Here is a 26,822-nt window from a genome sequence, read left to right on the forward strand (position 1 = left end):
ATAACCATTAAAGCGTTTTTCTCCAATGTCTGCACTTTTAAATTCTCCTTTCTTTTTCATCAGATTCAGTATTGGAGCAGCAATTCCTGATGTGCTGAAGTCAACAGCTATCTCATCTAACAATTCTGTTTCTTTTGCCTGGAGGAAGTTGAGAACTGATAATCTTTGGGATGTAGGTTTAGAAGAAGTCATGAGCCTCTAATGTGTCCAGATATGGGATATTGTGGTGGAAGATGTTGAGCATATCAATCAGGATGGACAAGGTTAGGTTGCAGTAACAAATAAGACCCAAATCTCTAGGGCCAAACACAACAAATGTTTTAAAACCCACTTACACTTTATATCCAATGTGGGTTCTTTGTGGAGGGCTCCCTTCATCATAGTCATTCCGTGATCCAGTCTGCTGGAGGCTGTACCGTCTCAATGCATGCTCCCAAGACTACCACAGCATAAAAACAGCATAGCCAATCACACTGCAGTTCTTAAATGCTTCTCCTTAGAACTAGCACCTGTTAGCAGCTCAGTGGAACTTCCTGGTTGGATGTGCCAGGCAGGTGAGTGCCCTGGTTCCATGGAGAGGGCACAGAAGCTTCATGTTGTAGACCCTCTGAGACCTTGTGCTGTAAGTCTCTTCATTTGGCTGGTCCTGATCTGTATCCTGAATGATAAAATTGTAATCATAAGGAAATAGCACCTGTTGCTTTCTCTCAGATTTCAATGGCTGAGAGAGGTCACATGCCTATTCATGACTTTAAGGGGTTAGAGGAGGGTATGTGTCCTGTGGGCCTGGAAGAAGTAGGAGGCTAGGGTTATTTGTGAGTTCTAGCAATGTCTACCAAGAAGGAGAATGGGATGTGGACAGGCAAGAATTGACTTCAAAAACAACTTGACTCATGTCATGGTTCTCTCTCTGACTCTTTGAATCTCAGCACATTATTAGTTTCCATGTTAATGGATTGAGGTTGGGCTTTTTTTGTTTTCTGCAATGTCTCTTTATAATCTTATTTTTGCCTTACAAAGGCATTAGCATACATTTTCTGGGCTCCCAGCCAGATGAATCATTTTCTTTTCTGTTTCCCCATCTCCATAGTGCCCTGGTCTTTGCCAGAACCAAACAGTGGTCACAGCTAGGACCTGCACCGGGGGTCCTGAATCCACCTTGCCCGGTGCCCAGATGCCCCTCCTGCTCTCTGGATGGAGCCCACCCTCAACAAGCACTCCGGCAGGACCAGGTTCCATGAAGACAATGCCACTTGGAATCTGATAAGTAATATTTGGTACCAAGCCCAGATCAGCTTTTCATCACCCTAGACAAGAGATGTGTTTGGGACTCTTCAGTCTCCCCTGAAGCCCTCAGGCAGGTCTCTGTCATGCTGGGTGGGATTATGGTAACACTCTACCAGCAGCTCCCCACCTGCACCTCAGGCCAGGTTGGAGAGGGTGAAAAAGCAACATAAAAATGTCAGGTTCCTATTGGGGATTAGGAGACAGTCAACTCTAGCCAAGTTTTATTTTTCCATTCTAAAGGAAGAAGAAGAAAAAAACACAACCTAAATTATCCCATTTTCCTTAACACACCATAGATGCGTGAATTAGAAGAAAAAATTTGTTAAACACCCAAACAAAAAGAAACAATCTGGCCACCAGCCAGGATTACTTTGCCTGGAGCGTTTTCCATGACTCTAAGGCCAGCACACAAAAGGGTTTCTAAGATCCATTTCTGGTGAGAATAAAAGCTGAATCTGAAAAACAGATGCCCCCTGAAAGTAAGAAACAGAAGAAAATGCAATCTGTCAACTAGCCACAATTTATTCTATCAACTATCAAAAATTTAGTCTGACATATTTGCTGGGTAAAATAACCATGTTGACTGATTGTTCTCCTGAAAAAGACAGTTTGAATTCACCCAACTCCAGCTGAGACTCAAATAGTCATTTTCAACTATTTCCAAATATTAATATTTTCTGCAAAGAGAACCTTTTATAAAATCTCAATTTGTAAAACTGGCTAGAAACCCAGTTGCTCTGGTTGAAACTGGGGGTGGGTGCTCCATGTGATACATTAAATATATTACACCCCCTGAAACCCTCCCCTCAATCCAGGAGCCTCTCTCTCTCTCTCTCTCCTGCTCTCTCTCTGTCACTCAGGCCGGAGTGCAGTGGAGCGATCACAGCTCACTGCACCCTCAACCTCCAGGGCTCAGGTGATCCTCCCACCTCAGTCTCCTGAGTAGCTGGGACCACAGGTACACGCCACCATGTCTGGCTAATTTTTTGATTTCTTGTAAAGACAGTCTCACTATGTTGCCCAGGCTGGTCTCCAACTCCTGGAGTTAAGCAATCCTCCCACCTCAGCTTCCCAAAGTGCTAAGATTGCAGGTGTGAGCCACCACACCGGCCTGAACAAAATTCACATATTTTAAGAATCTTTGATGTAGACGGGGGACAGTTCTGCTAATTTAAAAACATCTAGAGTTTTGCATTGTCACAATAACTCATGGTGGGTGTCATTTCTAGAATTTAGTGTAAGGGTTCAGGGATGGTAATGTATGACACACAATCCTGTCCAAATGGCCAAGTAGCCCCCAGGAGAAAAAAACAAAATAAAACTGGACAGAAGGCTTTAGCTGTCTTTACGAGGCGGGAGCTAAGGGTCACCCCCAATGTGGCCCGCTACAGCCCCAGCCCCCTATCTCTGTCTTGCATGGTGCTTGCTTCTCTTCCTCTAGAGCCCAAATATACCAAATGCTTCTTGCTCAGCCTCCTTTGCATCCAGAAGCAGCCATGGGACCCAAACCTGACCAATGCAACGAGAGAGTCAATATTCTGAGGTGGGAAGAGTTCAAGGAAAAATTTTGTTTCGTAATGCAACGGAGGCACAAGAAGAAACTCTCCTTCCTGCCTTTGAAAATAATTGGTTGAGAACAACATGCTGGAACCGAAGCAGCCTTTCTGTGAGCATGAGGAGCCATGCTTAAGAACAAGTCAATCTGCTAAGGAAGGCAGAGCAGAGAGACAGATATGGTTGAGCTGCATTCTTCATCCCCTCTGTTATAGGGGACAATCTATATGATTCTTCAAGTCTGTTAATCAAGTCTTTGGTTGCTGACAGCCACACGCATTTTAATAGATATACTTTTCTCACTTCCATTCATCTGGAAGCAGAAAGAACAGCTCTGAGGGAATCTTCTTTGCAGACGCTGACACTTCGATTCTCACTGTGGTTTTTCTTGTTGACTTAGGGCCACATAAATCTTTCCCTCCTTCTTGGTACTTGATCTTCTGCCTCTGCCGCAGGCTTGTTATCTGTTTTCTGTAAGTAACGCAGGAGCTTCTGGTTATAAACGACTTGCTAAACTTGAATTCTTAAGAGTCGTTTATCTGTTAGACCCACCCTAACCCAATCAATACTCAGTGATAGGAGGTGTCATCAATGATTGACTTTAAGATAAAGCAGTTCTTCCCCTGCCCCTGCTAATTTTTGTATTTTTTTGGTAGAGACGGGGTTTTGCCATGTTGGCCAGGCTGGTCTCAAACTCCTGAGCTCAGGTGATCTGCCCGCCTCTGCCTCCCAACGTGCTGGGATTACAGGTGTGAGCCACTGCGCCCGGCTTCGAATCCATTTTCCAAACACATGTAGGTGAGTATGGAAATAGATGAAAGGATATGGGTCACTTTACAAGATAACAGCCTGGAAGAGGTCATTGTGGGTTACATGCATTTGAATTCGCTGCAATATAAGCTAAGAAAACAATAAACTTTTCTCACATAGGAGACTGGGTATTACGAAGAGCTGTTCTTTAGTCCTTGCACCTTTATCACTTTATTTTAGAAACAAAACTCCCATCTTCACCATTTTCATTTGAAAAATCTCCCCTCTATATTTCAATCTATATGAGCTGCAGTCAGAACTCTAGCCCAAGACCCAGAGCTAAACCAGTCAGCATGTAGTTTTTCCAGAGCTAAACCAATCAGCATGTAGCTTTTCCAGAGGTAAGCCCAATCAGCATGTAGCTTTTCCAGAGCTAAGCTAATCAGCATGCAGCTTTTCCAGAGCTAAGCCAATCAGTATGTAGCTTTTCTAGAGCTAAGCTAATCACCACGTGGTGTGCTCTGGCAACAGCAATTTATCAGGGGTGAGTGAGCACATGACCTAATGGTGACCCAATCAGAATGAGTCTCCGGACTTCCCTGGAAACTTGTGGCCCTTTTCTGCAGGATTGAAACTTGGATGATGAGGCTGTGCCATAACTTGCTACTAGAGCTGCAGAATGAAGCTAACACAGCTGAGGGTAGAGTCAAGGCATCAGGGAAACTGAGTCAAGTTGAATTGAGTCCAGAATCTACTGTCCCTGAAACCAGTACAATACTTAGATATTTTGTTATTTTGTTTTGGGAGAAAACAAATTCCCTTCTTACTGAAACAAGTCTGGTCTGCATTTTCTGTTGCTGGCTACCGAAGGAAGGGGTCCTAACTAATATCCTGGGGTAGAACAGTGCCCAGTTATAGAGGCCCCAGTTTCCCCATTACTCATGAAGAGACAGTTGCTCTAAGGAGCTTCAGCATCTACTGCCAGCATCACCGTTCTGGTGCTCTGGTTCTGGGCGATTCTTCCATAACTTGTCTGAGCATGTGAACTTTGGAACAGACTGCCTGAGTTCAAGTCTCAGCATCACCACCACTAACTTTATCAAGCCCTCCATGTCTCAGTTGTCTTACTGTAAAATGGAAATGACTTTCATAAACATTAAAATTGCTGTGAAATGTGAATGTGTTAATATGCAGACAGTGATTAGCATAGTGCCTGGCACATAGCAAGCCCATCATCCATGGCTGCCCTCATTGTTGTTATGTTCTTCTTTATATTGAGGATCCATCCAGAACCTCCCTTCATTCTGCTGGTTGCCTCCATTCTCTTGTGCCTCACTTGGCCAGTTCTCCATCTTAGGAGCTTTGAATTCCTTTCCTCAGTTCAAACGTTCCTGGTTTGTGTCCCAACCCTAATAGGACTTCTCTTTCCAAGGTCACAGGTACCTAATCTGAGATGTCAACCCAGGTAGTAAGTTAGTGGTTTCATCTTTAGACAGGGATAGTGAAACTTTGCTTCTGTGCATCTCATTCTTGTTTATAAATCTCTTTAAAGAATACGAACTTTGTAGTATATTTATTTTTGGCTACCCAGAATCTATTGTACCATCTTTGGGTAACTGAATTCCAGTTTCCCCTGGGTAACCACCCTCCAATGGCTGGACCAACCCTCTGTGTCAGGTGGACTAAAACCATCAGGCTCTTTTTTTCCACAGCTCTGACTGGTCCAGGGATGAGTATGTGACACTTAAGTCCAACGAGATGCAATGAGACTTTTGTTGTGGCTTCTGGGAGTGCCAGAGGCTCTTTTCTACCAGGCTTAGTCAGCCTTGCAGCCACAGCAGGAGATGCTAAGAACCGCCCTGAGAGGGAAAAAGAGGAGCAGAGGGATCAAGAGACACTCATCAGGAACTGCTGACATTTGAGCCTCTGGATCTGGCTGTGCCTGAAACTAACAAGCTACTCCTTCCACATTCTAGTTATCTGATATTATAAATTTATTTCATTTAAAGCTATTTAACTTAGGTTTTGTTGTTGTTGCATGCAACCAAGAGTGCTGACTGATACAATCTTCCAATTATATGCTGTTTTTACTTTAAAAGGGGTGTTTGGTGTCTCAGCCTGAAAGGAGCAGTAATGGTAGGATTGAGGGCACATAGCAATCCAGGAAGAAGGCAATGGTACATAGACCCCTGAAATCATACCAGATGGCCAGTTACTACTCAGTCTCTAGATTCAGCTGGTTCTGCAAGAAGAGTTATCAAGCTATCAGCTTTCTCTTGCAGGCATCCTTCTGTACCTTTAAGACAGAGCATCTAATTAGCTTTGGGTGGTTTCAGTTAGGCGTATAGTGGAGAAATTAAGAAAACATTAAAACCAGGACCATTGGAACATGAGGATGTGCGGCTTAAGATTTACCCAAGAGGGGCTGACCTCAATTAGGACGTTGATGCTGGATTGGGTGCTCTGGTTTTCCTCTACTTTAAAAACTGTTGGATCCCTGATATGCCAAGACCCCAGAGAGATGGAGAAACGTTTACGTGCATGGAGGAAAAAATATCTTTTTAGAGTTACAAAGTGAGAATCACAGTTATTCTACCACTATTAAGCCAGAAAATCATTGTCTAAAATGGATATTTTTTTCTTTTTTAATGTGTAAATGAGCTTCTTGGTTGGTTTAAAGGGGCAAAGATTCCCATCAGCCTTCAGAGCTGGTCACTCATCAGTGGATTGGTAAATGCAGAATGGGGTTCGAGTCTGTATCTTCTTTAGTGGAACAGTGGGTAATGTCGTTTTGACTCACGAATCAGTTTCCTTCACTCTTCTGGGCTAATGACCCACTTCCTCCGGCTTCCCTTAGCTGCACCTGGTGTTTCTGTGGGAAAGGCCTTCACACTGACATTCTTATTTGATAGTGAATGTTGATGGACACCAGGCCTGCTTATGCACAAGAGCTTCTGACCTGGGATCAGAGAAGGAAACGGAATTTTAAAGAAATGTCTCAAGAGTCAGAGAAGGCAGGAGCCGAGAAGTGATCACTACTGACCTCAAGCTCAAAGACCTATGGGAAGTAGCAAAATTCAACAGGATGAGTGGTGAATCCCTGGGTCCTTGGTCAAAGGTCCTGAGGTCCTGAGGTCAAATCAGAAGAGAAAATGCAAATTTGTCCATGTAAGAAATTTATTCCAAAAAGTCAGATACAAAAATTTGACTTGACAAAGCATGGTGGGTTTTGTAAAAAAAAATAAATGGTTATAAAGAGGAGCTGAATGTGGAATAACTTTGCATTTCACAGAGTTAACATTTGAAGTTTCAGCTGTTTGCAAATGACTCATGGTGCTACTCAGCGTGGGTGAGGTTGTGCTGCAGTAACAAATAAGACCAAATATATCAGTGGTTTAAATAAGAAGGCTGCATTGCCACCACAGGGTCAGCTGAGACTTCTGTACATTGGGGCCCACCTCACAGCACCTCCCTCTTGGCACATCCTTCTACAATCACTGTGGCAGGAGGAAGATAACATGGCTTCATAAAGATTGGCTTTTAAAATATTTGCCCAAGAGCAACACTACCATTTTATCCCACATGTCCTAGGCAAAGTCAGTCATATGGCTGCACCTGCCTTCCAAGATTGTGGGAAAGTGCTTGGAGGGACGGGGGAATATTTAGTGAGCAGTAGTCATGACCACCATACTCCATGGTATGCAGAAATGTGGAGCAGGGCTGGTGGGTGGACCCACTCCACTTGGCTGCTGAGCAGGGCTGGCCCACTACTCAGAATGTGGGTGCCAGGGAAGCCTGGGCTTCTCTCTCATCTGCTTTGTATATTTCTCATGATTTGATTCAAATGCAGATTCTTTGTGAAAAATTAGCCCTGATGAGAAAGCCAGTTCCTGATCATGGAAGTAAAGGGCAAAGGAAAAAAATTAGAGGGTAAAATACAAAGGACAAAAATGACAAGGTTGTGTAAATGACAAGAGTACTGTAAATATTGATACTTTGCAATAAAACTGTGCATCGTCCTTTTGAGAGATGACAACATGCTAGCAGCCCTCACTCGCTCTCCATGCCTACTTGGCCTCAGCGTCCAGTCTGGCCACACTTAAGGAGGCCTTCAGCCCACCGCTGCACTGTGGGAGCCCCGCTCTGGGCTGGCCAAGGCCGGAGTTGGCTCCCTCTGCTTGCGGGGAGGTGTGGAGGGAGAGGCGCAGGTGGGAACCAGGGCTGTGTGGGGCGCTTGTGGGCAAGCGTGAGTTCCGGGTGGGAGCGGGCTCGGCAAACCCATTCCAGGGTGCCCTGCCCTTCACAAAGAAAACTCTCCCTGGGGCTCCCATGGGCTTCTCTGGGATCAGTCACGGGCTCCGTGGGCCCTACACTAGGAGTGGCCAGCCAGAGCCGCAGGCCCTGGGCAGTGAAGGGATTAGCACCCAGGCCAGCAGCTGTGGAGGGTGCACCGGGTCCCCCAGCACTGCTGCCTGGCCCACGCTGCTCTTGAATTCTTGCTGGGCCTCAGCCACCTCCCCGTGGGGCAGGGCTCGGGACTTGCAGCCCGCTGTGCTCAAGAGCCAGCCCCCCGGCATGGGCTTCTGAAGGAGGCCACCCCCGGCTCCACGGCGCTGGGTCCCATCAACCTAGGGCTGAGGAGTGCGGGCATGCCGCTGCGGGACTGGTGGGCAGCTCTGCCCTCGTCCCTGGCTTGGGATCCACTAGGCGAAGCCAGCTGGGCTCCTGAGTCAGGTGGGGAGTTGGAGAACGTTTATGTCTAGCTGGAGTATTGTAAATGCACCAATCAGCACTTTGTGTCTAGCTCAAGGTTTGTAAATGCACCAATCAGCACTCTGTGTCTAGCTCAAGGTTTGTAAATACACCAATCAGCACCCTATGTCTACCTCAAGGTTTATACATGCACCAATCAGTGCTCTGTGTCTAGCTAATCTAGTGGGGACTTGGAGAACTTTTGTGTCTAGCTAAAGGATTGTAAACGGACCAATAAGCTCTCTGTAAAATGGACCAATCAGCTCTCTGTAAAATGGACCAATCAGCTCTCTGTAAAATGAACCAATCAGCAGGATGTGGGTGGGGTCAGATAAGGGAATAAAAGCAGGCTGCCAGCGCCAGCAGTGGCAACCAGCTGGCGTTCCCTTTGGAGCTGTGGAAGCTTTGTTCTTTCGCTCTTTGCAATAAAGCTTGCTGCTGCTCACTCTTTGGGTGGGTGTGCCTTAATGAGCTGTAACACTCATGGCGAAGGTCTGCAGCTTTACTCCTGAGGCCAGCGAGACCACAAACCCACCGGGAGGGACGAACAACTCTGGACGCACCACCTTTATGAGCTGTGACACTCACTGCGAAGGTCTGCAGCTTCACTCATGAGGACAGTGAGACCACGAACCCACCAGAAGGAATGAACAGCTCCAGACGCACCACCATTAGAACTGTAACACTCATCTTAAGGGTCCACGGCTATTCTTGAAGTCAGCAAGACCAAGAACACACCCATTCTGGACACACTTTCAAATGCATCCAATGGAAGCTAAATATCATAGTTGATTAATATGCATGATCTTTAAAATATATTAACAAGCTTTTCTTAATAGTTAGAAATGCGTATCATTTCCTTTCCTCCTTCTACTTCCTCCGGATAATTTTATCTTATTTCAATTTATTTTGATGCTATCAATTGCTTTACTTTTAAATATACTATGTTTACAATTTAATCAGAACTGAGTTATCATTGGTGTTATTTGTAACACCCAAGTGATCAAAACAACACAAACACACAGTAAATTTTGATAAATAATTATTAAGCATCGAAGCAATATTTTATTAAAAGTAAAGTCTTTAGGAGATGGATGGAGGGGGTTGTGGAGTCTTAATTAAAGGACACTTGTCCCAGACCCCACTCTTAACAAGCTTTCCCCTTGTAGAATGTGGGGTGGGGGGATTTGCATGCCTAAAGCAAAGCATTCTGGAAAGGCTCTAGATAAGTGAAGATGGTACTTTTTTTTCTAAAAGGGAAAAGGGTGATTATGAAAGGGTAGATGGGAAAGAACAGCAAGAGTGTTCTCAGGGTGAGTACTGCAGGGCATGAGAACACACTGAGTTTGCGGTCCATACCCAGATACCCTTGCATGGTGTTTGTGTGCCCCTCGGGAATGAGGTGATCTGAATTCAAAAACCTTTTCTCTGCTCTCTGACTTACTGGCCTGGCATTCCATCCCCTACTGGCACTGGAATCACTAGTATTTTGTAATGAGCACTGGGTCCTCTCCATAGCATTGCTCACACACCATCGTGTCTGTCCCTGAGAATGCGTCAAGCTGCTCAGGGCAACTAGTCTCGACCACCACCCCACCATGTTGTAGAGGCAGAGGTGTGTTTTCATTTGCTCATGGACACCCATGCACTATTCCTTCCCTAGGCCTCCCTTCTCTCCATGACTCCACCTCCTCACCACCGCCCCCTTCTTTCCCTCCTCCTTTTTCCTTCTACTCCCCTCCTTCCATTCCCCTCCTCCTTAGCCAGTCTTACTTCTCCTTGAAATCATTATCACAGAATGAAGGCTTGGATGTTGTTTGCATACAACTATTACAAAGAGACCCAAAGTGACATTTCTTTATGGGCCTGGGTTCCAGCCTGTGACAAACAGAGCTGATATCAGAGAAAACAAATTGTTAATGTTATATTGGAATTTCACTGTGGGCACTAGATATTTGCAAGAGGTAACCAAATGTACAAGGGGTCGAAGCAGATGAATTCCATTCCAAAACCACTAAGACTAAAAAGCAGCTGCAAATGAGGTTTGAAATGGACATCCTTCTCCTTAGAGACTTCACAGTGACAAATGGATTAGTCCCAAAGTGGAACACAAACCTGCTTTGCTTTCATAGAAGCGAAGAAGACTAATAAAGGCCGTGTCTCTATCCAGCCCTGAATCCACCAGGGCTCCGTCAACCTCTATTTAATAGCCCGATGCTTCTCAGCTGAGCTTCTTAATTAAGTCACCGTGAGAGCTGGCCCTTAAGAAACTCTTAAACACGCCGGGCGCAGTGGTTCATGCCTGTAATCCTAGCACTTTGGAAGGCGGAGGCGGGTGGATCACTTGAGGTCCGGAGTTTGAAACCAGCCTGACCAACATGCTGAAGCCCTGTCTCTACTAAAAATACAAAAAAATTAGCCAAGTGTGTTGGCGGGCACCTGTAATCCTAGCTACTCAGGAGGCGGAGGTGCGAGAATTGCTTGAACCCGGGAGGTGGAGGTTGCAGTGAGCCGAGATTGTGCCACTGCACTCCATCCTGGGCGACAGAGTGAGATTCTGCCTCAAAAAAAAAAAAAAAAAAAAGTAATCCCAGCACTTTGCAAGGCCGAGGTGGGTGGATCACGAGGTCAGAAGTTCAAGACCAGCCTGGGCAAGATGGTGAAACCCCGTCTCTAATAAAAATACAAAAAAATTAGCTGGGCATGGTGGCGGGTGCCTGTAATTCCAGCTACTTGGGAGGCTGAGGCAGAGAATTGCTTGAACCTGGGAGGTGGAAGTTGCAGTGAGCCGAGATCATGCCACTGCACTCCAGCCTGGGCAACAGAGCAAGACTTCGTCTCAAAAAAAAAAAAAAAAAAGAAAAGAAAAAGAAAAAAGAAACCCTTAAACATTGAGTCCTATTTATTAATTAATGTTTAGCCTTCCTTAGTGTAAAAATGTGTTTACTGAGTCTATTATTATTTATTATATTTTAATTAATAGTGTTTCCAAGGCATGACTTGGAAAGAGAAGCTTTAGTCCACTCATAACCCCAGGCAGTGCTCTCTCTATATGCTGCCATGCAGGGTACTAAGAAAAATATACAAGCAAAGTTATGTAATAAAATCTCTAGGAAACTGTTTTGCTGCTGCTTATAGGGGACCTACATTCCAATTAGAAAGTGTGACACTCTGCAAATTCAGCTTCAAGACCAGTATCCTAACCTTTCTCCCGATCCCATATCAGTCAGGAAAGACTGGGCAATGCTCTAATAACAAATAACCCCCAAATTGCAGCCAAATTGCAGAAATCACGGCAACATTTCTTTCTCTTTTTCACAAAAAAGCAATTGCGGGTCCAGATGACTCTCGTGGGCAGCATCCTCCATGTGGACTCAGCCATCCAGGTGGCCTCTATCCTGCAGTGTCCACCTCACAGCTCTGGCACCATCATGGTGCAGGTAAGGGAGCCCCAGAAACGCTTCACTCTGAAGTGAAACCTTCATCTTCTTCCATCCACAACAGTTGCCTAGAACATGCCCCATGACCCCACCTAACTTCAAGGGGAGGGGAGGTGATATGGTTTGGATGTGTCCCCACCCAAATCTCACCTTGAATTGTAATAATCCCCAAGTGTCAAGGGCGGGCCAGGTGGAGAGAATTAAGTCATCGGGGCAGTTTCCCTCACACTGTTCTCATGGTAGTGAATATGTCTCATGAGATCTGATGGTTTTATAAAGGGGAGTTCCCCTGCACAAGCTTTCTTGCCTGCCGCCATGTAAGATGTGACTTTGCCCCTCATTCACCTTCCGCCACAATTGTGAGGCCTCCCCAGTCATGTGGAACTGTGAGTCCATTAAACCTCTTTCCTTTATAAATTACCCAGTCTCAGGTATGTCTTTATTAGCAGCGTGAGAACAGACTAATACAGGAGGTGTTCTGTTCCCAGAAGGAGGGGAGGAGCAGATATGCATGAGTACTCTATGTTCCCATCATTCCTCCTTCCAGAACATTGCCACATCTGAGACCCTCCTGTAAAAAATTCTGGAGCCACTAATGCTTTCGCAGTATGGAACAAACATATTTTCCAGAAGAAATCAGCCAGTTTTTTTTCCTTTCCTTTTACATAATGCAGTGCCAATGTCCTCTTACCTGGAACAGTGCCTGGCACACAGCAAGCATCGTAACTATTTGTTGAATAATTAGTGAATACATGACTGGCCGAATGAGTGAGGGCCATGCAGTGCCTCTCCCATTATGTCAGGACTCTTCTTGGAATGCTGACTGTGTTTTGTAGAGTGCAGCCCTAGGAAGATGGGAGACCCAGGAACTGGCCCTGTCTCTGCTGATAGCTCCGTCAGCTTGAATGAGGTCTAAGCCCCACGGACACTCTGCATAAAGAAGCATGCATGTTGTGTAGGTAACGGGGTTGGAACTGTTGTGGTCATTGCTTCATGAGGGAAACTAGATAGGGATAGCACCAGGGATGGCAGGCTGGAGCCTGGGGAGGGCGGATCACAGAGAAGCTCTGTGACGTCGTCTGGGGTTAGGAACCCATGAAAAGACTGAACTTCCTATTAGGCAGGGAGAAAATGGGGAGGGTCTGGCTTGATGTCTCTTGGAGAAATCTGGATTACACAAATATGTGAGGCCAGGAAACCAACAAGGAAAACATGACCTGTCTTTGCTGATAATGATTGTCCTATCTGCATAAACTCACAAGGATGGAATAAGAATAAAACCAACAACACACTTCCGCCAAGACTTGACAGTTTGCAAAGCATTTTAAAATACAAAGCCAACTCTGTTAATGGTAACTTGGATAGATGTTCCAGCTTCAGTCCAAATATCTTACAGATATTTACTTTAGTCCTCATAGCATGACTATCTTTATTTCACAATGAGGAAACTGAGCTAAGTATTTTACCCGAGGTTTTACAGTTAGTAGCCAAGACAGGATTCGAACCCAGGTATCTGGCTCTAGAAGCCACACACTGAACTCTGCATCCAGCAGCCTCTGCAGAAAACACAATAAAACTCTTCTGATGATGCCAGTGGCTGGAATTCCACCACTTATACAGAACAATAGGGCTGGAGTTGCTCTGAGAGAATCATGTCTATTTCGAGGAAGTTGAGGAAAAATATACCTAAATTTTGTTTTGGTGTAGTCTAATCCTACAGTATAAAGAACTTTTGTATTGCATTTGAATTCTTTTATTTATTCTTTCATGAGCAAAAACTTTTTGCACACTTACTGTGTTCCAGGTTCTGTTCTAAGCTTGTGCAGTGCATGCTACCTCATGCAACCTTTGCAACAACTCTCCCTGCTAGGGGGCCACTCTTTCCTAAAGCAGGCAGGGGCCCAGAACAGGCTGTTCCAGGCCTCCTCTATGCCTTATTATCACAGAGAGAGCATAGAATATTCCTCAAGCAACAAGAAAGAGCAAGGAAATACATGTTCAATGCAGACATCCACGTTTGTGTCATCTCAGAGGAAGGAACAGGATCACCCGTTCCCTCCAAGGGAAAATATACCCTTTTCTTTGCTTTTATTGGTTTTAAGGCCTGGGACAGTAGTTCTCCACCTTCTTGGGTCACATTGCCTTTCACTCTGCCAGATTCTGTTTCCTTTCTGTGACACGAGGATAGAAATAACACGCATGGCAATGGATTGGGGTGGTATTCCAACGAAATAATGTAACGATGGCCCTTTGTGAAGTGGAATTCATACATTCATTCACTCATGCATTCAACACATTTACTGAGGGCCTATTATGTGCCAAGCTCCTCTTGAAGTCTCTGAGGCCTGAAGAGTGAAGACAGAATAGATGCTAAAGGCAGATTTCTGGAACAAACTGCCTGGGGTCAAATACTAGCCTCATTACTCACTAACTATGGGAAAGTTAAGTATAAAACCTGACTCAAAGGGTTAGTGTCAAGTTTAAAGAAGTTAATATCTGTAAAACATTTAAAATAGTTCCTGGCATAGAGTAAGTTCCAGAAATCCTTTGATAATAAAAAAATATTTTTGAAAAGAACAACTAAGAAAAATTACATTCAGTATTTCTACCTAAGGAGATATGGCTGTATATTTTACCTTAAAAATATCAGAGATGTTAAAATAATAGAACAATAAATAGAATAATAAACATCTGTATAACTTTTTAAAAAGATTTAAAGCCCACATTTTGTGTTTTTTTTTTTTTTTTTTTTTTTTTTTATGGAAACAGAGTCTTGCTCTGTCACCCAGGCTGGAGTGCAGTGGCGCCATCTCGCTCCACCTCCCAGGTTCATGCCATTCTCCTGCCTCAGCCTCCAGAGTAGCTGGGACTACAGGTGCACGCCACCAAGCCCAGTAAAGCCCACATTTTCTAAATGTGAAATAAAATTTTAATTCTTAATCATTAGCCATCAAGAACACACAGATATCTAGAATGCCCTAACTTATTAATGTCTTAATGTATTAGTTCAAGTCTCAAAAGCTTAAAGCAATAAAATGTATTACCTGCTGAAGTAAACCCTCATATACCTGTGATAGCAGTTCCTCCACCATCAAGAATCTGGAAAAAGGAGGAAAGCCTAGAAAACAACAACAACAACAAAACACTGCTTCTTAAAGATATCAACCCCAAAGTGACACCTATCACTTCCTCTTTCATGTCACTGGCCACCCCCACCTTCACTGAGAAGAAAAAGGTTAATTCGACTACACACCTGACTTCACTGTTTGATCATCTGATTGTGGACAAGTCACTTAATTTGACTGTATTTCAGTTTCCTTGTTTGTTAAATGAAAACAGAAACAGTGCTTTGCTCATGGCATTGTCATGAGACTTAAATCATACACAAAAATGTTAGCTATAATGACAATGTGATCTACCCACAGAAAATATAAAGTATTATTTGTGTGTGCATGTCTGTTTAATGTGAGTAGTATCAGACTACATTTCCAATGCCGATAAAAATGTGTGATCTGACTGAAACAATAACCTCGCATTTTATTTCAAACTTACACACTTACACAATACATCCATACATGCGAGTCACCATTGCGTTTCGTTCCCATGAAAACTTGGATTGCGTCAGAGTTTTATTGCTTTTGACCCAATGCCACTTAATGATTGAAAAAAAATGGTGGGTTCATGTTTGGTATTTCCTGATGCGGGCAAGGGAGCAGGGCTGCTCTCAGCAGGCGGTTCTTACCCACGTGCTCACTGGCCCTCCGCAAGCTGATGTCCAAGACGACAGACACATGGTTTAGGGAGCTCAGATGCTTGAACTGTGACGCAGCTGGAAACCCAATCAGGACATCGGAGAAGAAAGCAGAGTGAGGTGGGGTCAGAAGGGGGCACGTGGGACATTCCCAGGAGTTGGAACTGAAGAGGGGTGAAAGGGAGGGATGTGGGCAAAGTCAAGCTCTGGAAGCAGAGGCTCAGGGGGTACCCTGTGTTTGTGGTTGGGGACAGAGATGGGGCAATGAGGCCCAGCACCCAAAGGCCAACAGGGCTAAGGTGTGCAATGACTTCAGGTTGACTCTGGAGGCTGATGAGTTGTTTGTCTGGATGGACGTGTGGTTGGCAGATGTCTTGTGCCTGCCCAGCCTTCACCCCACACTTCTGGGGCCATGCTCTGAGCTTGCTCAGGGAACCATGGCTTTGCTGGTCTCAGCACAGCTCCAGAAATGATCATGTGGCTCCGGTTTGACCAATGAGGCGCCACATCCCTCTGGCCACAATGATTGGCTCAGGAATGGCATGTGACCCAGTCAGACCCAATCAAAGCTCACCCTGGGCCTTGCTAGGGGAGGAAGGATGGAAGGTGTAAGACTCCACCTTCAGAGCCCCCTGGGTGGGGGTCACATGTGCCTCAGGGTGATGTCAAGAAGGTTGTGCTGAGATGGAGAGAAAAAGAGTCATAGTCCCTGGATTTGGATATGCTCAAAGCCAGCTTGTCATTGGCCTTTTCTTGGCATGAGGCAATACATTCCTTTCCTTCGTTTAAACTAGTCGGACATGGGTTTTCTGTCACTTACAACCTAATGTCTTCTAAAACAGCCTTCCCCAACCTTTTTCACACCAGGGACTGGTTTCATGGAAGACAATTTTTCAACGCATGGTGGGTGGTGGGGAGGGATTGTTTCAGAATGAAACTGTTCCCCCTCCTATCATCAGGCACTAGTTAGATTCTCATAAGGAACCCACAACCTAGACCGCTCGAACACGCAGTTCACAACAGGGTGAATGCTCCTGTGGTAATCTAATGCAGGGATGGCCAGCCTTTGGCTTCCCTGGGCCATGTTGGAAGAATTGTCTTGGGCCACACATAGAATACACTAACACGAATGATAGCCGATGAGCTAAAAAAAAAAAAAAAAAAAAAATTGCAAACAAAAATCTCATAACGTTTTAAGAAAGTTTACAAATTTGTGTTGGCTGCATTTTATTGCGGCATTATTCACAATAGCAAAGACTTGGAACCAACCCAAATGTCCAACAACAATAGACTGGATTAAGAAAATGTGGCACATATACACCATGGAATACTATGCAGCCATAAAAAATGATGAGTTCATGTCCTCTGTAGGGACATGGATGAAATTGGAAATCATCATTCTCAGTAAACTATCGCAAGAACAAAAAACCAAACACCGCATATTCTCACTCATAGGTGGGAATTGAACAATGAGATCACAGGAAGGGGAATATCACACTCTGGGGACTGTGGTGGGGTGGGGGGACGGGGGAGGGATAGCATTGGGAGATATACCTAATGCTAGATGACTAGTTAGTGGGTGCAGCGCACCAGCATGGCACATGTATACATATGTAACTAACCTGCACAATGTGCACATGTACCCTAAAACTTAAAGTATAATAAACAACAACAAAAAAATTTATGTTGGGCGCATTCAAAGCCGTCCTGGGCTGCATGCTAGCTCCGGGCCGTGGGTTGGGCAAGCTTGAATGCCTCTGCTGATCTGACAGGAGGTGGAGCTCAGGCAGTAATGCTCCCTCACCCGCCGTTCACCTCCTGCTGTGTGGCCTGGCCTCTAACAGACCATGGACTGGTCTCTGTCTGTGCCCAGGGATTGGGGACCCTTGTCCTCAAAGACAGAGTGTGCCTCTTTAAAGATTGCTGTTCTTTCCCTCGCAGTGAACCGGTAATACGCTCATTCTGCAAAGACATTCGAAAGATGTTTTTGGCCTAACTAGAATCAATTCTGTTGAATTCCCCCAAATCACATCCCAATTCACTTTTTTCCTAAGAAATCCAATGTTAATTTACCCTCGAAGAGCACACAACTCTGGGTGAGTCTCTCTGGCGTCTCATACCAATTTTTTTCCCTTTGGCAATTGGTCTCCAGATCATTAATGTCACATATAACTTAGGGCCCAAACAGCCCACACAGCGATCTCCACAGTGCCTGTCATGATGTGGTCGATTTTGATGGCAAAAATAACTAATTGAAACCCTACGATTTGTTTACTTTGAATACATTAAGGTGGTGGTTATCAAATGGAGCTGAATTATCCCTTAAATTACCATGAAAACAAAATCAATAGTTTATTTACCACACAAAACAAAAGAAAAAAGAAGGAATAAAATGCTCTGAGGAATCTTTATTAGAAGTTTTCCTTGGAAGAATACAATGTAGATAAACTCAGAGTAAATAAGGTATATGGTAACTTGGAGGAATAAACTGACCCCTAGTTCATAATTGTTTATTTCTTGGTTCCTAGCTTATAAATAGTCCGGTGGGGCCTTTCTAAAGTCTAAATTTCTTTCTAACCAAGTGATTAGAATAAATGTCCCGTGGTCCAACAATTGAGTGCAGTGTGGGTGTTTATACTATTACTTCAACTAAATACTGTTGTTTTTTTTTTAGATGGAGTCTCACTCTGATGCCCAGGCTGGAGGGCAGCGGCATCATCTTGGCTCACTGCAACCTCTACCTCCCGAGTTCAAGCAATTCTCCTGACTCAGCCTCCTAAGTAGCTGGGATTACAGGCACACACCACCACACTTGGCTAATTTTGTATTTTTAGTAAAGACAGGGTTTCACCATGTTGGCCAGGCTGGTCTCAAACTCCCCACCTCAGATGATCTCCCTGCCTCGGCCTCCCAAAGCGCTGGGATTACAGGCGTGAGCCACCGCGTCTGGCCGGTACTTCAACTAAATATTTAAGATTATTAGTACATTGAGCTCATCAATGCTTCCACTTTGGGGTCCAAGAGCAAAACTGGAGCTAATTCAGATTATCACCACCTAAGTTGCTTACTTTTAAAAATTATTATTATTTTTAAATTTGGAATGTCTCAGGGTTTCTGCTCCAATTCATAATTCCTGTGTCTTTAGTGGAAATGTCAGTACTTTATAGGATGACACACACAGCATTATTCCTGGCTGTTGAGACACCAAAAAGCCTGATTTACTGTTCCTTCCAGAGGATCCCCAACACCGACATTGACTAAATTCCTTTTCTGCAAGCATCCTGGCAGATGTTCTGGTTAAGACCTTGCACCGTCACGAGCTCATCCTTTTCATGCTCCAACAGCTGTTGAGTGCTGTGTAGCCACCACCCAAGCATCTGACATGTAAGGGCCCTTCCTGCCCACCTCCTGGTGACAGCTGACAAACTAAATGAGAAGAAAACCTTTATTTTTGCTTCAAAAGATGGAAATTGGATTATAAATTAATGGAAAAGCCCATCTGTGAACATGTTCTTACAATTTCTAAATGTTACAAGTCAGAGAAGCACAAGGGCCTGGGAAATACTCAGTATTGGTATTAGTAACTCCTAAGCTAGGATTTTCCTGGGGGATGGGGAGGAGGGCTGCAAACAGACAGGGAGGCTCTGTGCCCTGATCTCCAAGCCTCGGGGGGGAAATAGAACCAGAGGATGGGGCTGGGCTGGAGAGATGGGTCAAGTCAAGGTGGAGAGGATGTGTTGAGATGCTATGGCAGACTGCGGTGGCTCCTCGTCGCCATCTGTTTTCCTTCTTTTTTATTAGATATTTTATTTGCCATATGGCCATATAGAATCAAAACTCCATTTTCCATCCAGGCTTGCTGGTAGATGTGGCTAAGAAGTTCTAGTTGGGGGAATATAAACCTATTTGTTGTGTCCAGATTCTGAGAGGTATCTTAAGGAGTGAGAACATTCCCTCTGTCCGTCTGCCAGCTGGAATGCAGACTCAGGCGTCTGATCTGGAGCCGTCACCTTGAGCTATGAGTGAGAAACCCTTTGCTGATCATGGCAGAGTAACAAGCTAGAAGGAGCCTTGCTCCTCGATGGCATGGGGGCCGCTGTATTAGCCTTAGGCTGTCCTCCTTTACATAAGACAGAAGGACACTTTATCTTGTTTAAGGTACTGTCCATTTCGGGGGGAACTCATAACTGAACAAAATCTCAGATCTCATCTCAGAAGGCGTCTCTGAGCTAGAAATCTTGGGGAGATTCAGAAGTGTAATAGGTAGTTCCTGTGTCCAATATGATTAGGTGTCCTGGGGAAAACTTCATAAACTTTGAGCAGGAGGGTGTGGTGCAGACTGGAAGAGGTTTCAGGGTTTTGAGAAAGGTGGTGAAGGGTGAGAACTCTCTCACCCACCCCAAATACGCTGCTTCAACTTGAGGATTACTGTGAACTAAAGGTGCTTGAAAAACAGCAGATGCAAGAAGAGCATTCTGATCTCACATTTTCTTCCTGAAGATGGGAGATAAAAATTCCCATGGGAAAGATGCCCTCTTTGTGCCAGGAGAAAAGAAACATTCTTTGATGGGGAGTCCTAGCCGAGATAATTCTGTACAGACCTTGTTAAAACAACTCTTATCTTTTCAGCCTCCCCACATGAGTGAGCTGCTTTTTCACAACTTACTGTTCTCTGTCCAATTTCACTATCTGAGGGACTGACTCTGCTTCTTTGGGTCTTCATTTCCTTAAGATGGCTCCCATGCCACATAAAACTTGTACTAAATAAATTTGTATGCTTTTCTCCTCTTAATCTATTTTAGGTCGATTTCATTCTAGAGCCCAGCTGGAACCCTAAGAGGTTGAAAGTGGAGTTTTGTCTCCTCTGCAGTGGACACTCAAAGAACTAGCCAGGATGGGTTGGACCTGGGAGCAGAGAGACCATGGCTCCCTTCCAAGGCTGGGAGAAGGGAGTTGCCACTCCTTCCCAATCAAACCATGCCAAGAACGAGGCTTTTGCAGGGAAATCAGTGCAGATGAGAACTTACCAACAGTTAAGATGAATAAATATATCCAACTGCCTGGCCCATGTCAACACGCAACAATTATTTGCTAAAAGAAATAAAAAAGGGGCCGGGCAGGGTGGCTCATGCCTAGAATCACAGCACTTTGAGAGGCTGAGGCAGGCAGATCACTTGAGGCCAGGAGTTTGAGACCAGCCTGGCCAACATGGTGAAACCCTGTCTCTACTAAAAATACAAAAATTAGCCGGGTGTGGTGGTGCGCACCTGTAATCCCAGCTACTCTGGAGGCTGAGACAGGAGAACTGCTTGAACTCGGGAGGCAGAGGTTGCAGTGAGCCAAGATGCACCAGTGCACTCCAGCCTGGGTGATAGAGTGAGACTCCATCAAGAAAGAGAGAGAGAGAGAGAAGAAAGAAAAAGAAAGAGAGAGAGAGAAAGAAAGAAAGAGAGAGAGAGAGAGAGAAAGAAAAGAAAGAAAGAAAAGAAAGAAAGAACGAAAGAAGAAAGAAAGAAAGAAAGAAAGAAAGAAAGAAAGAAAGAAAGAAAGAAAGAAAGAAAGAAAGAAAAGAAAGACTGACTGCATGAACAACAGCCCAGGAAACACAAGAGAAGTAGCGTGGAGTAGTGGCCAAGGATGGGTGCTAGAATCTCAGAGCCTATATCTGTATATCAAGATGTCTCAGGCCAATGCCTAAAAACAGTGTTCAATAAATATCGAATAGTAATATTACTACTGTTATCACAATTGAGAATAACTGAGTGTCAACCAGCTGATCTGCTTGCCAATGAAGGGACTCCAGGATCCTTAAGTCACTTCTATTTTTCTCCACTTCCCTGGCAACTTTTTCTCCAAGACTAGATCGATTCAACACTCCTCCAAGTCCTGGGTTAACCTCAGTGGCCCTCTGCCTCCCATTGTGATCACCTTCGTCCACAGCAATCTTTTCCTTCTCCGACAGCACATTATTACCTTGTCATTGGGCACTTGAAGTAGACATCCTTTGACATCCTCTGTGAATGTTACCTTATTTCATTCCTTGTTTTCCCAGCATGTAATGGGCAAACAAGGCCCTTCAAAAAACAGATCTGACCCTGTTGACTTCTGCAGACACATCTAGCATCTCTTTCAACTTGAAAAATCATGTCTATATTCCTGCATTCCTAAGCTACCAGCTAAATTTTTTATAAGTTTAAATTTATATTTGGATGTAATTATATATTTATAAATTACATATATATTTTATATTTTTAAGATATTTACTTGTGTAAAATAAATAAATAAATGGGTAAAATTTTCAGCATATTGTAAATACTGGATATTTTAAGAGAAAACCGTAATATAACTTAAAGTATGTCCAACTGAGGCTCAATACGATTGTGATTTGATACCTGTCATAATTGATTTTTAAAAAAATACATACAGGAGCTTCTCATGGTTAGGAACTTTTCATTGTTCTTTATTCCCCTTGAACTTGTACACCCCTAGAAGAATTTGATCATAATGTATCATAGTTTTATTCTTGGAAGTTTTTTTTATTGATTACTCTATCACATATCACTGACTGCAACAAAAATATGCTCATACATTTACATTTAAATTTAAAAAATGTCTCTGACTATAAGTCTTTACATTTTAAAATAAGTTTTTTTTTAAACTTATCATTATGGATGATCATTCTGGTTGTTCGCAGAACACAATTGATCAAAGCAGCATAAGTATGGCAGAGCTCAGGATAAAGAATTATTAATCTGAAAAAAGTAAAATTATTTGGCTATTCTTCTCTTAGTATGATAGGTGGGATTTTTTTTTCCATTAATGTATTCATGAATATTACTTGTTATTTTAAGGAGGCAGTTTCATCATCAATTTTATTCACACCGTTTTGTTTTTATTGGTGTAAGCACTGAGCATTCGTTCACATAAACAAGCAGATGGGAAAGGGGGGCCTTCTGTTGGAAGCCACGCACTTGTTTGGACTCCTTCCAGGTTATGTGCCAAAAATCACACAATGATTTATCATAAAAATATTTTTGATAATCTATGAGCTGACATCCCTATTAGGTTCCTCTTCAATTTCAGTGAAAGTGAAGAATTGAAAACAATTTGACTGTAAAGGGATGTGGTTCCAGTTATACACCCAGATGGGGTACCCAGTTGTCAGAGATGTTTGTGTTCTCAATGCTCAGGCTAATATTTCAAAATGTGTCTTTGCCTGATGCCCTGAAGGACTTTTCCCAGGAGGGGAAAACGCCTTTGTAAGACGCAAGCTGGGTGATGGCTTTTGTGTGAGGACGTCTTCCACCATCCACCCTTCCCCATCCTCCTTCTGTCCTGGGAGGCTGGTTGCATGGACCACAGCAATGGGCTCCCTTCTCTGCTGCTTCCAAGTTATGTTCCCTGCCAGTGGTTGGAGGTCAGGGCAGGGAAGAATAAAGTTGGGCTCCATCTGTGGGATGACCCAGGGTGGCTGCATCTCTCTCAGGAAGGTCACAGCTCCTTCACATTCTACACAGCCTCTCCTGTCTCCAGATTCTGGAAACCTCTTTCTTCTCTAACTCTGCACAGGGCCCCACTAACCCTAGAGAGCTGCACTATCCTTTGTGGCTTTCTTTACTTCACCCACACCTTTATAAACATTTCCTGTATTAAACTTTCTTCGAATTACCCAATTTGAGTGTGCTTTCTGTTTTGTGTTAGTATCCTGACTGATAAACCCATTTTTTAAATTATACTTTAAGTTCTGGGGTACATGTGCAGAACGTGCTGGTTTGTTACATAGGTATACACGTGCCATGGTGGTTTACTGCACCCATCAAGCCATCATCTACATCTGGTATTTCTCTTAATGCTGTCCCTCCCCTATCCCCCACCCCCACAACAGGCCCCAGTGTGTGATGTTCCCTTCCCTGTCTCCATGTGTTCTCATTGTTCAACTCCCACTTTTAATATAATGAAAGAGGGCATTTGTGAAGGAGGAATTGAAAAATAGGATACATGTAGGTAGGGGGTCTGGAAATTGATGATCTTAAAACTGTCTATGCCTGTGAACCCTTAAAAAATTGTCATGTATCCCCAGAGGTGTGAGTACTCCAATCTGATGATGGCCGATCTGTGAGTAAGTTCTTTGGTGGGGATTTGTGAGATTTTGGTGCACCCATCTCGCTAGCAGTATACACTGAACCCAATTTATAGTCTTTGATCCCTTACTCCCTTCGCACTCTTTCTCCCTGAGTCCCCAAAGTCCATTGTGTCATTCTTATGCTTTTGCATTCTCGTAGCTTAGCTCCCACTTACGAGTGAGAACATACAATGTTTGGTTTTCCATTCCTGAGTTACTTCACTTAGAATAATAGTCTGCAGTCCCATCCAGGTTGCTGCAAATGCCATTAATTCATTCCTTTTTATGGCTGAGTGGTATATATACATACATACACATAAATATATGTATACACACACGCTATATATATATATGTGTGCGTATATATATATCACAGTATATCACAGTTTCTTTATCCACTTATTGATTGATGGGCATTTGGGTTGCTTCCACATTTTTGCAATTGTGAATAGTGCTGCTGTAAACATGCGTGAGCAAGTATCTTTTTCGTATAATGACATCTTTTCCCCTGGGTAGATACCGGGTAGTGGGATTGCTGGATCAAATGGTAGTTCTACTTTTAGTTCTTTAGGGAATCTGCGCCCCGCCCTCCCTGCCACCATTTTCCATGGTGGTTGCACTAGTTTACATTCCCACTAGCAGTGTAGAATTGTTCCCTTTTCACCACATCCATGCCATCTATCATTTTTTGATTTTTTGATTATGAGATGATGGCTGATCTAATGCCTGACCAACCACCCTGTTCCCTTCACTCTATAGTGGTAAGGACATGGTTGGGAACCAAACAAGCATTAAAGAAAGCTGGCAAATGCCTTTTCACAAATGCCAGATGATACAGGTGAAAGCTATACAGCATGGTGTTTGTCCAGCACCTTCCATCCCTGCTACTACCCGGCCACACCACCACTGCCCTCATCTGCAGGGGAAGCAAATTCCTCCCTTGAGCTCATGGGTGCAGTGGGGGCTGCCTCCAAGAAGCCAAGACCCCATGATTGCCTGCTTGAGTCTAGCACCAATCACCATTGAACAAAAGCCCATCTGGTTTATCCACCAGGTTTTTTTTGAGCACTGAGTTAGAAATTCCAGGCAACCCATTGAGAGTTCTTTATTGCAGCAGCGGGCAACTGATCTACGATAACATGTAAAAAGATAAGGGTCCCCAGGCGATGACAGCAGCTGCAGTTTAAAGTTGAATTTGGAGTTATTAAAGCGTGTGCTGCATCCACCTGCAGGAGGCAAGTGACGATCTCAAATCTCCCATCCCTGAGTTGGCCAGAACCCCCAAGGTCAATTGCCCAACATACTTGGTGCCTCTGAGACTTGAAGTTCCTGGCAGATGGCTGTGGGGTGCGCCTGCACTAGCTGTCACTGTGACTCATCCCTCAGGGCATGTCAGATTCTGGCATTTATTTTCATTTATTAATTAATTTTAAACAATAGCAATCTCAGAGCCTCTTAGATTGTGACCCATCACAACATTAAAGCTGGTCGAGCCACTCTCTAGGGCCAGGGTTTTTGTGACAGTTTAGATTATCATTAAGCAAATATTCACTCTCTCCCCTTCACACTGCAGGTGGAGAACACTTCCCACCCTGCTGATGTTTGGCTGTGTGACTTGCTTTGACCATTTGGAAGTCAGCAGAAGTGATGAGAGCAAAGGGATTAAATGTGCAGCTTGGCTCACTCTTGCTCCTGGGGATCTGCTGTGATGAGCGTGTGCTCTCTTTATAACAGGAGCTACTGTCCCTTGATACTCGGTCCAGTGCGCACACGTGTGGAGCAGATCTGAGCCCAATCCACAGCCTGCACCCTATCCAGCAGAGCCCATGTCGCAGAGCCCGGGTCGCAGAGCCATGAGTCACCTGTGAATCTGCGCGTGTGAGAATTAGTGCTTATTTTGAACCACGGAGATGGGTTGGCAACAACTGACAAATCACTGAGTTTTCAAATTCTGCTCTGTGGAACTCAACGGAAGTCATTTTCAAAAAAATGGTTTCATTCATTCACATATTTATTAATTCACTTGCTTATTCTACAAACACTTTATTGATCACCCTAGGTATCGTGCACTGTTCTAGAGAGACTCATCCATCTCAGCTTATCTGGGCTGCTTTTTGATCTTCCTGAGAGAATGGAGGGCCTGTGTGTGCACATTGGTAAAGTGCTTTGAAAGGAATGAATCCAGCAGATTTCACAGCCCCTTCTCCTCTGCAAGGCTGTGTAGCCTTCTCTGAGGCTAGCTGGGGTTGGTGTGGGCGGGAAGGAGTCTTGCTGCTACCCGAACAGACTCAGATGCTCCCCTGCCTCCATCTCTGCATTAAATCAGGGGCTGTCAAGGAGGAGGCAGGCACAAGGCGATGTTCGTCAGCTCCCGGAGGGGCAGGTCTCTTCACATCTTGCCTGGGTTCATTGGCTCAGCCACATGCTGGTCGACCTTGTTTCTGTTTTCAGATAAAGAAAATGAGGCTCTTTTTCTTTCATCACTTTGTCCAGTGAACTTAGGAGCAACCAACCAACTTCATTATATTCCTTGGTTCTCCACGTAGGGTCAAAGATATCAGGTATAGAGTCATTAAGCTCCTGCCTCTCATGAGCAGTGAATCAGGAGTATCAAATGCATTTATTTTGCAAGAACTATCGGTGTTCTCCATGCTATTAGAAGTAGAGCCCTTAGCATTTTTGAGTCTAATCATATTAAGCAGCCAACTCCAGAAACCCCCAAATCAACAAAAGAACTCCATCCTTAATACTCTGTTCCTCTAGAATTACTCCTGCTACCAAAATCTGTATGAGTCAGGGTTCTCTAGAGGGACAGAACTAATAGGATAGATGTATATATAAAGGGGAGTTTATTAAGGAGTGTTGATTCACACGATAACAAGGTGAGATCCCACAGTAGGCCATCTGCAAGCTGAGGAGCCAGGAAGCCAGTCCGAGTCCCAAAACCTCAAAAGTTGGGAAGCCAACAGTGCAGCCTTCAGTCTGTGGTCGAAGATGCAAGAGTCCCAAAGCTGAAGAATTTGGAGTCTGATGTTCAAGGGCAGGAAGCATACAGCCCAGGAGAAAAATGGGGCCAGAAGGCTCAGCCAGTCTAGTCCTTCCACGTTCCTCTGCCTGGTTTTATTCTAGCCGAGCTGGCAGCTGATTCAATGGTGCCCACCCAGAC

General features: G+C 44.2%; 2 long non-coding RNA genes across 10 annotated transcripts in view, besides 2 other annotated features; one reads left to right on the forward strand and one right to left on the reverse strand.

Annotated features, from left to right (window-relative positions):
- The window catches only part of LOC105372639 (uncharacterized), a 41,073-nt gene extending 25,768 nt beyond the window's left edge, over positions 1-15,305 (forward strand). For 2 of the 8 annotated variants that reach the window (XR_007067625.1, XR_007067626.1), the window contains one exon: positions 1,091-9,308. This is a non-coding gene — a long non-coding RNA (uncharacterized LOC105372639). Of the gene's footprint in view, positions 1-1,090; positions 9,309-11,669; positions 11,784-12,457 lie in introns of those variants that run through there. The other 6 variants (XR_007067630.1, XR_936798.3, XR_007067629.1 and 3 more) reach the window with 6 other exon arrangements.
- On the reverse strand, positions 6,376-14,901 carry LOC124904923 (uncharacterized). 2 transcript variants are annotated; one of them, XR_007067632.1, is made up of 3 exons: positions 14,828-14,901; positions 6,635-6,720; positions 6,376-6,550 (listed from the first exon to the last, which is right to left on the reverse strand). It is a non-coding gene; the product is annotated as an uncharacterized LOC124904923 (long non-coding RNA). The 2 variants fall into 2 exon arrangements; XR_007067631.1 differs by lacking the exon at positions 14,828-14,901 and adding an exon at positions 12,475-12,556.
- Positions 12,340-12,509: an enhancer, noted in NCBI's record as "experimental_60555 CRE fragment used in MPRA reporter constructs". NCBI's record gives its function as "activates a minimal promoter by MPRAs in K562 erythroleukemia cells, with activity observed for the non-introgressed 20:46692154 variant allele {active_cell/tissue: K562}" and the evidence as "EXISTENCE:reporter gene assay evidence [ECO:0000049][PMID:34662402]".
- Positions 25,261-25,446: a silencer, noted in NCBI's record as "fragment chr20:46704990-46705175 (GRCh37/hg19 assembly coordinates)". NCBI's record gives its function as "represses an EF-1alpha promoter that drives an FKBP-Casp9 reporter gene in an ReSE screen in K562 erythroleukemia cells {active_cell/tissue: K562}" and the evidence as "EXISTENCE:reporter gene assay evidence [ECO:0000049][PMID:32094911]".

The sequence above is a fragment of the Homo sapiens genome, chromosome 20 (genome assembly GCF_000001405.40).
Source record: "Homo sapiens chromosome 20, GRCh38.p14 Primary Assembly".
Classification (NCBI taxonomy): domain Eukaryota; kingdom Metazoa; phylum Chordata; class Mammalia; order Primates; family Hominidae; genus Homo; species Homo sapiens.